The sequence below is a fragment of the Homo sapiens genome, chromosome 14 (assembly GCF_000001405.40).
Source record: "Homo sapiens chromosome 14, GRCh38.p14 Primary Assembly".
NCBI classification, from domain to species: Eukaryota; Metazoa; Chordata; class Mammalia; order Primates; family Hominidae; genus Homo; species Homo sapiens.
The window spans coordinates 38629125-38640050 of NC_000014.9; the positions used below are offsets into that span (position 1 = coordinate 38629125).

At 40.7% G+C, this 10926-nt stretch overlaps 1 annotated feature.

The window, feature by feature from the left end:
- Positions 283–793: an enhancer, noted in NCBI's record as "NANOG hESC enhancer chr14:39098611-39099121 (GRCh37/hg19 assembly coordinates)". NCBI's record gives its function as "activates a minimal SCP1, AML or CMV promoter by ChIP-STARR-seq in naive and primed H9 embryonic stem cells {active_cell/tissue: H9 hESC(naive and primed)}" and the evidence as "EXISTENCE:reporter gene assay evidence [ECO:0000049][PMID:30033119]".

Below are 10926 nucleotides of genomic sequence, written 5' to 3' on the forward strand. Positions count from 1 at the left end.
TTTCACAGCTGGCATTGAGTGTCTGTGGCTTTTCCAGGCCCACAGTCACAAGCTGTAGGTGGATCTACTATTCTGGAGTCTGGAAGACAGTGACCCTCTCTTGCCCTCACTCCACTAGCCAGTGCCCCAGTGGGGACTTTGTGTGAGGGCTCCAACCTCACATTTCTCTTCTGTACTGCCCTAGCAGACATTCTCCATGAGGGCTTCACTCCTGCAGCAGACTTCTGCCTAGACATCCAGGCATTTCTATACATCCTCTGAAATTTAGGCAGAGGGGCCCAAGCTCAGTTCTCATCCTCTGCACACCCGCAGGCCCAACACCATGTGGAGATTGCCAAGGCTTAGGGCTTGCACCCTCTGAAGCAACAGCCTGAGCTGTACCTTGGCCCCTTTTAGTCACAGCTGGAGCAGCTGGAACACAGGGCAACAAGTCCTGAGGCTGCACACAGCAGGGGGGCCCTAGACCCTGCCCAGGAAACCATCTTTCCCTCCTAGGCCTCCAGGCCAGTGATAGGAAGGGCTGCCGTGAAGGTCTCTGACATGTCCTGGAGGCGTTTTCCCTATTGTCTTGGTGATTAGAATTTAGCTCCTCTTTACTTATGCAAACTTCTGCAGCCAGCTTGAGACTTGAATTTCTCCCTCAAAAATTGGTTTTTCTTTTCTGCTGCATCATCAGGCTGCAAATTTTCCAAACTTTTATGCTCTGTTGCCTCTTGAATGCTTTGCTGCTTAGAAAATTTATTCCACTAAATACCTTAAATTATCTCTCCCAAGTTCAAAGTTCCACAGATCTCTAGGACAGAGGCAAAATGCCACCAGTCTCTTTGCTAAAGCATAAGATTTTGAAGAGTCACCTCTGTCCCAGTTCCCAAAAAGTTCCTATTCTCCATCTGAGACCACCTCAGCCTGGACTTTGTTGTCCATATCACTAACAGCATTTTGGTCAAAACCATTCAACAAATCTGTAGGAAGTTTCAAAGTTTCCCACCTCTTTCTGTCTTCTGAGCCCTCCAAGTCTATAGGAAGCTCCAAACTTTCCCACATTTTCTTGTCTTCTTCTAAGCCCTTCAAACTGTTCCAATCTCTGCCTGTTACCCAGTTCCAAAGTTGCTTACCCATTTTTGGATATCTTTACAGTAGTACCCCACTCTCTGCAGTAACAATTTACTCTATTAGTTTGTTCTCATGCTGCTAATAAAGACATACCAAAGACTGAATAATTTATAAAAGAAAGAGGTTTAACTGACTCACAGTTCAGCATGACTGAGGAGGCCTCAGGAAACTTAAAATCATGGCAAAAGATGAAGCAAACATGTCCTTCTTTACATGGCAGAAACAAAGAGAAGTGCTGAATAAAAGGAGGAAAAGCTCCTTATAAAACCGTCAGATTTTGTGAGAACTCACTACTATGAGAACAGCATGAGGGTAACCACCCCCATGATTAAATTACCTCTCAGCAGGTCCTTCCTACAACACATGGGAATTATGGGAACTATAAATCCAGATGAGATTTGGGCAGAGACATAGCCAAACCATATCAATCAGCAACCTCAAAGATTGAAGGAACATAAGTCCATGAAGATGAGAAAGAACCAGCACAAGAACCCTGACCACTAAAGAGCCAGAGTGCCTTCTTTCCTCCAAACAACTACATCAACCCTCCAGCAAGCATTCAGAAACAGGCTGAAATGGCTGAAATGAGAGAAATGTAGTTCAGAACATAAACAGAAATGAAGATCATTGAGCTATGGAAGTACATTGAAACCCAGTCCAAGAAAGCAAAGAATCACAATAAAACAATGCAGAAGTTGATAGACAAAATAGTATAGAAAATAATGTAACCAACCTGATAGAGCTGAATAACACACTACAAGAATTTTCATAATGCAATCACAAGTATTAATAGAAGAATAGACCAAGCAGAGGAAAGAATCTTAGAGATTGAAGACTGGCTTTCTGAAATCAGACAGACAGTAGTAGAGAAAAAAGAATGAAAAAGAACAAAACCTCTGAGAAATATGTGATTATGTACAGAAAGCAAATCTACAACTCATAGGTGTCTCTGAAAGAGATGGGGAGAATAAAATCAAGTTGGAAAACATGTTTCAGGATATCATCCATGAGAACTTCCCCAAACTAGCTAGAGAGGACAATATTCAAATTCAAGAAATGCAGAGAAGCCCAGTAAAACACCTCACAAGAAGATCACCACCATAATACATTAATTATCAGACTCTCCAAGGATAAAACGCAAGAAAAAATGTTAAAGGCAACTTCAGAGAAAGGCCAGGTCACTTACAAAGAAAAATCCATCAGACTAACAGTGGTCCTCTCGGCTAAAACCCTAAAAAGACAGAAGAGACTGGGGGCCAATATTCAACATTCTTAAAGAAAAGAAATTCCAACCCATAATTTCATGTCTGGTCAAAGTACAAATCGTAAGTAAAAAAGAAATAACATCCTTTTCAGACAAGCAAAAGTAGAGGGAAGTTCCTACCACCAGAACTGACTTATAAGAGTTCCTGAAGGAAGCATGAAATATGGAAAGGAAAGATCATTACCAGCCACTACAAAAACACACTGAAGTACACAGACCAGTGACATTACAAAGCAACCACATAAACATGTTGCAAAATAACCAGCTAGTGTTATGATGACAAAATTAAATCCACACATATCAACAGTAACCTTGAATGTAAATGGGATAAATGTTTCAATTATAAGACACAGAGTGGCAAGCCAAATAAAAAACCAAGACCCATTGGTATGCAGTCTTCAAGAGACCCATCTCACATGCAATGACACACAGAGGTTCAAAATAAAAGGATGGAAAAAAATCTACCAAGCAAATAGAAAATGGAAAAAAGCAAGGGTTACAATCCTAGTTCCAGATAAAACAGTCTTTAAACCAACAAAGATTTAAAAAGGTAAACAGCATTAGATAATGGTACAGGGTTCAACTCAACAAGAAGACCTAACTATTCTAAATATATATGCACCCAACACAGGAGCACCCAGATTCATAAAGCAAGCTCTTAGAGACCTGCAAAGAGACTTAGACTCCCACACAATAATAGTGGGAAACTTTAACACCCCACTGACAACATTAGACAGATCATCAAGATGGAAAATTAACAAAGATATTCAGGACCTGAGCTCAGCACTGGATCAAACGGACCTAATAGACATCTACAGATCTTGTCACCCACCCAAAACAACCAACAGGATATAAATTTTTCTTTTTTTTTTTTTTTTTGAGATGAAGTCTTTCTGTTGTTGGCCTCGGCTGGAGTGCAATTGCGTGATCTCAGCTCACTGCATCCTCTGCCTCCCGGGTTCCAGCAATTCTGCCTCAGCCTCCTGAGTAGCTGAGATTACAGGCACCTGCCACCATGCATGGCTAATTTTTGTATTTTCAGCAGAGATGGGGGTTTCACCATGTTGGCCAGGCTGGTCTTGAACTCCTGACCTCAGGTGATCCACGGACTGTGGCCTCCCAAAGTGCTGGGATTACAGGCATGAGCCACCACGCCTGGCCCAGAATATACATTTGTCTTATCATTACATGTTACATAGTCTAGAGGAGATTACATAACTGGAAATAAAACATCCTTCAGCAAATGCATAAAAACTGAAAGTATAACAACCAATATCTCAAAGCCCAGCACAATCAAATCAGAAATCAAGACTGAGAAATTCACTCAAAACCATACATTACAGGGAAATTGAATAACCTGCACTGAATGACTTTTAGGTAAATGATGAAATAAGGGCAGAAATCAAGAAGTTATTCAAAACTAATGAGAATAAAAATACAACATTCCAGAATCTCTGAGGCACAGCTAAGGTGGTGTTAAGAAAGAAATTTATAGCACTAAATGCCCACATCAAAAAGTTGGAAAGATCTCGAGTTAACATGCTAACATTACAACAAAAAGAACTAGAGAACCAGGAGAAAAACAACCCCAAAGCTAGCAGAAGACAAGGAATAACCAAAATCAGAGCTGAACTCAAGGAGATTGAAATGTGAGAAACCATTCAAAAGATCAACAAAACCAGGAGGTGATTTTTGAAAAAATTAATAAAATAGACTCCTAGCTAGACTAATAAACAAGAAAAGAAAGAAGATTCCAAAAAACACAATCAGAAATGACAAGGGGGATATTACCACTGACCCCATAGAAATATAAATAACCATCAGACAATATTATAAATACCTCTAAGCAAATAAACTAGAAAATCTAGAAGAAATTGATAAATTCCTGGACACATAAACACTCTCCCCTCTCCCAAGACTAAATCATGAAGAAATTCAACTCCTGAACATAACAATAATGACCTCTGAAACTGAAGAGATTGTACCATTCCTACTGAAACTATTCCTAAAAATTGAGGTGGAGGAACTCCTTCCTAACTCATTCTGAGGCCAGCATCATCCTGATACCAGTACCTGGCAGAGACACAACAATAAAAGAAAACTTTAGGCCAATATACTTAATGAACATTGATGCAAAAATCCTCAACACAACACTGGCAAATCAAATCCAGCAGCACATCAAAAACTTTATCTACAATGATCAAGTAGGCTTTATCCCTGGGATGCAAAGTTTGATTCATTTATAACATAAACAGAACTATAAGAATGAACCAGCACAAGAACCCTGACCACTCAAAAAGCCAGTATGCCTTCTTTCCTCAAATGACCATGTCATCTCTCCAGCAAGGGTTCAGAACCATGATTATCTCAATAAATGCAGAAAAGGTTTTTAATAAAACTCAACACCGCTTCATAGTAAAACTTCTCAGTAAACTAGATACTGATGGAACATACCTCAGAATAGTAAGAGTCATCAGCGACAAACCCACAGCCAACATCATACTGAACAGGAAAAAGCTGGAAGCATTCCCCTTGAAAACTGGCACAAGAAAAGAATGCTGTCTCTCATCACTCCTATTCAACATAGTAATGGAAGTTCTGGCCAGGGCAATCAGGCAAGAGAAAGAAATAAAGGGCATCCAAATAGGAAGAGAAGAAGTCAAACTACATCTGTTTACACATGACATAATCCTATATCTAGAAAATCCCACTGTCTCAGTTCAAAAGCTCCTTAAGCTGATAAACAACTTCAGCAATGTCTCAGGATAAAAAATCAATTTGCAAAAATCACTAGCACTCCTATACATTAACAAGAGTCAAGACAAGAGCCAAATTAGGAATGATCTCCCATTCACAGTTGCCACAAAAAGAATAAAATACTTAGTAAAATAGCTAACTATCAATGTAAAAGATCTCTTCAAGGAGAACTATGAAACATTGCTCAAAAAAATCGAGATGACACAAATAAATGGAAACATATTCCATGCACATGGATAGAAAGAATCAGTATCACTAAAATGGCCATATTGCCCAAAGCAATTTATAGATTCAATGCTATTCCGATTAAACTACCATTGAGATTCTTCATAGAACTAGAAAAAAAAACTATTTTAAAATTCACGTGGAACCAAAAAAAGAGCCCAAATAGCCAAGGCAATCCTAAGCAAAAAAAAAAAAAAAAAAAAAGCTGGAAGCATCATGCTACCTGACTTCAAACTATACTACAGTGCTACAGTAACCAAACAGCTTGGTATGGGTACAAAAACAGACACATAGACCAAGGGAACAGAATAGAGAACCCTGAAATAAGGCCACACACCTATATGCATCTGATCTTTAACAAACCTCACAAAAACAAGCAATGGGGGAAAGAATTCCCTATTCAATAAATGCTACTGGGGCAACTGGGTAGCCATATGCAGAAGATTGAAATTAAACAAAAATTAGGAGGAGCCAAGACGGCCGAATAGGAACAGCTCCGGTCTACAGCTCCCAGCGTGAGCAACGAAGAAGATGGGTGATTTCTGCATTTCCATCTGAGGTACCGGGTTCATCTCACTAGGGAGTGCCAGACAGTGGGTACAGGTCAGTGGGTGCAGCGCACCGTGCGCGAGCCAAAGCAGGGTGAGGCATTGCCTCACTCGGGAAGCCCAAGGGGTCAGGGAGTTCCCTTTCCTAGTCAAAGAAAGGGGTGACAGACGGCACCTGGAAAATTGGGTCACTCCCACCCGAATACTGCGCTTTTCCGACGGGCTTAAAAAATGGCGCACCAGGAGATTATATCCCGCACCTGGCTTGGAGGGTCCTACGCCCACAGAGTCTCGATGATTGCCAGCACAGCAGTCTGAGATCAAACTGCAAGGCAGCAGCGAGGCTGGGGGAGGGGTGCCCGCCATTGCCCAGGCTTGCTTAGGTAAACAAAGCAGCCAGGAAGCTCCAACTGGGTGGATCCCACCACAGCTCAAGGAGGCCTGTCTGCCTCTGTAGGCTCCACCTCTGGGGGCAGGGCACAGACAAACAAAAAGACAGCAGTAACCTCTGCAGACTTAAATGGCCCTGTCTGACAGCTTTGAAGAGAGCAGTGGTTCTCCCAGCACGCAGCTGGAGATCTGAGAACGGGCAGACTGCCTCCTCAAGTGGGTCCCTGACCCCTGAGCCCCGAGCAGTCTAACTGGGAGGCACCCCCCAGCAGGGGCACACTGACACCTCACACGGCCAGGTACTCCAACAGACCTGCAGCTGAGGGTCCTGTCTGTTAGAAGGAAAACTAACAAACAGAAAGGACATCCACACCAAAAACCCATCTGTACATCACCATCATCAAAGACCAAAAGTAGACAAAACCACAAAGATGGGGAAAAAACAGAGCAGAAAAACTGGAAACTCTAAAAAGCAGAGCACCTCTCCTCCTCCAAAGGAACGCAGTTCCTCACCAGCAACAGAACAAAGCTGGATGGAGAATGACTTTGACGAGCTGAGAGAAGAAGGCTTCAGATGATCAAATTACTCCCAGCTATGGGAGGACATTCAAATCAAAGGCAAAGAAGTTGAAAACTTTGAAAAAAGTTTAGAAGAATGTATAACTAGAATAACCAATACAGAGAAGTGCTTAAAGGAGCTGATGGAGCTGAAAACCAAGGCTCGAGAACGACGTAAAGAATGCAGAAGCCTCAGGAGCCGATGCAATCAACTGGAAGAAAGGGTATCAGCGATGGAAGATGAAATGAATGAAATGAAGTGAGAAGGGAAGTTTAGAGAAAAAAGAATAAAAAGAAATGAGCAAAGCCTCCAAGAAATATGGGACTATGTGAAAAGACCAAATCTACCTCTGATTGGTGTACCTGAAAGTGACGGGGAGAATGGAACCAAGTTGGAAAACACTCTGCAGGATATTATCCAGGAGAACTTCCCCAATCTAGCAAGGCAGGCCAATGTTCAGATTCAGGAAATACAGAGAACGCCACAAAGATACTCCTTGAGAAGAGCAACTCCAAGACACATAATTGTCAGATTCACCAAAGTTGAAATGAAGGAAAAAATGTTAAGGGCAGCCAGAGAGAAAGGTCGGGTTACCATCAAAGGGAAGCCCATCAGACTAACAGTGGATCTCTTGGCAGAAACTCTACAAGCCAGAAGAGAGTGGGGGCCAATATTCAACATACTTAAAGAAAAGAATTTTCAACCCGGAAATTCATATACAGCCAAACTAAGCTTCATAAGTGAAGGAGAAATAAAATACTTTACAGACAAGCAAATGCTGAGAGATTCTGTCACCACCAGGCCTGCCCTAAAAGAGCTCCTGAAGGAAGCGCTAAACGTGGAAAGGAACAACCGGTACCAGCCACTGCAAAATCATGCCAAAATGTAAAGACCATTGAGACTAGGAAGAAACTGCATGAACTAACGAGCAAAATAACCAGCTAACGTCATAATGACAGAATCAAATTCATACATAACAATATTAACTTTAAATGTAAATGAACTAAAAGCTCCAATTAAAAGACACAGACTGGCAAATTGGATAAAGAGTCAAGACCCATCAGTGTGCTGTATTCAGGAAACCCATCTCATGTGCAGAGACACACATAGGCTCAAAATAAAAGGATGGGGGAAGATCTACCAAGCAAATGGAAAACAAAAAAAGGCAGGGGTTGCAATCCTAGTCTCTGATAAAACGGACTTTAAACCAACAAAGATCAAAAGAGACAAAGAAGGCCATTACATAATGGTAAAGGGATCACTTCAACAAGAAGAGCTAACTATCCTAAATATAGATGCACCCAATACAGGAGCACCCAGATTCATAAAGCAAGTCCTGAGTGACCTACAAAGAGACTTAGACTCCCACACATTAATAATGGGAGACTTTAACACCCCACTGTCAACATTAGACAGATCAATGAGACAGAAAGTCAACAAGGATATCCAGGAATTGAACTCAGCTCTGCACCAAGCGGACCTAATAGACATCTACAGAACTCTCCACCCCAAATCAACAGAATATACATTTTTTTCAGCACCACACCACACCTATTCCAAAATTGACCACATACTTGGAAGTAAAGCTCTCCTCAGCAAATGTAAAACAAAAGAAATTATAACAAACTATCTCTCAGACCACAGTGCAATCAAACTAGAACTCAGGATTAAGAATCTCACTCAAAACCGCTCAACTACATGGAAACTGAACAACCTGCTCCTGAATGACTACTGGGTACATAACGAAATGAAGGCAGAAATAAAGATGTTCTTTGAAACCAACGAGAACAAAGACACAACATACCAGAATCTCTGGGACGCATTCAAACCAGTTTGTAGAGGGAAATTTATAGCACTAAATGCCCACAAGAGAAAGCAGGAAAGATCCAAAATTGACACCCTAACATCACAATTAAAAGAACTAGAAAAGCAAGAGCAAACACATTCAAAAGCTAGCAGAAGGCAAGAAATAAATAAAATCAGAGCAGAACTCAAGGAAATAGAGACACAAAAAACCCTTCAAAAAATTAATGAATCCAGGAGCTGTTTTTTTGAAAGGATCAACAAAATTGATAGACTGCTAGCAAGACTAATAAAGAAAAAAAGAGAGAAGAATCAAATAGACGCAACAAAAAATGATAAAGGGGATATCACCACCGATCCCACAGAAATACAAACTACCTTCAGAGAATACTACAAACACCTCTACGCAAATAAACTAGAAAATCTAGAAGAAATGGATACATTCGTCGAAACATACACTCTCCCAAGACTAAACCAGGAAGAAGTTGAATCTCTGAATAGACCAATAACAGGAGCTGAAATTCTGGCAGTAATCAATAGCTTACCAACCAAAAAGAGTCCAGGACCAGATGGATTCACAGCTGAATTCTACCAGAGGTACAAGGAGGAACTGGTACCATTCCTTCTGAAACTATTCCAATCAATAGAAAAAGAGGGAATCCTCCCTCACTCATTTTATGAGGCCAGCATCATCCTGATACCAAAGCTGGGCAGAGACACAACCAAAAAAGAGAATTTTAGACCAATATCCTTGATGAACATTGATGCAAAAATCCTCAATAAAATACTGGCAAACCGAATCCAGCAGCACATCAAAAAGCTTATCCACCATGATCCAGTGGGCTTCATCCCTGGGATGCAAGGCTGGTTCAATATACGCAAATCAATAAATGTAATCCAGCATATAAACAGAGCCAAAGACAAAAACCACATGATTATCTCAATAGATGCAGAAAAGGCCTTTGACATAATTCAACAACCCTTCATGCTAAAAACTCTCAATCAATTAGGTATTGATGGGACGTATTTCAAAATAATAAGAGCTATCTATGACAAACCCACAGCCAATATCATACTGAATGGGCAAAAACTGGAAGCATTCCCTTTGAAAACTGGCACAAGACAGGGATGCCCTCTCTCACCAATCCTATTCAACATAGTGTTGGAAGTTCTGGCCAGGGCAATTAGGCAGGAGAAGGAAATAAAGGGTATTCAATTAAAAAAAGAGGAAGTCAAATTGTCCCTGTTTGCAGATGACATGATTGTATATCTAGAAAACCCCATTGTCTCAGCCCAAAATCTCCTTAAGCTGATAAGCAACTTCAGCAAAGTCTCAGGATACAAAATCAATGTGCAAAAATCACAAGCATTCTTATACAACAATAACAGACAAACAGAGAGCCAAATCTTGAGTGAACTCCCATTCACAATTGCTTCAAAGAGAATAAAATATCTAGGAATCCAACTTACAAGGGATGTGAAGGACCTCTTCGAGAAGAACTACAAACCACTGCTCAAGGAAATACAAGAGGATAAAACAAACGGAAGAACATTCCATGCTCATGGGTAGGAAGAATCAATATCGTGAAAATGGTCATACTGCCCAAGGTAATTTACAGATTCAATGCCATCCCCATCAAGCTACCAATGACTTTCTTCACAGAATTGGAAAAAACTACTTTAAAGTTCATATGGAACCAAAAAAGAGCCCACAGCGCCAAGTCAATCCTAAGTCAAAAGAACAAAGCTGGAGGGCATCACACTACCTGACTTCAAACTATACTACAAGGCTACAGTAACCAAAACAGCATGGTACTGGTACCAAAACAGAGATATAGATCAATGGAACAGAACAGAGCCCTCAGAAATAATGCCACATATCTACAACTATCTGATCTTTGACAAACCTGAGAAAAACAAGCAATGGGGAAAGGATTCCCTGTTTAATAAATGGTGCTTGGAAAACTGGCTAGCCATATGTAGAAAGCTGAAACTGGATCCCTTCCTTACACCTTATACAAAAATCAATTCAAGATGGATTAAGGACTTAAATGTTAGACCTAAAACCACAAAAACCCTAGAAGAAAACCTAGGCTTTACCATTCAGGACATAGGCATGGGCAAGGACTTCATGTCTAAAACACCAAAAGCAATGGCAACAGAAGCCAAAATTGACAAATGGGATCTAATTAAACTAAAGAGCCTCTGCACAGCAAAAGAAACTACCATCAGAGTGAACAGGCAACATTTCACAGAGTGAAATGGGA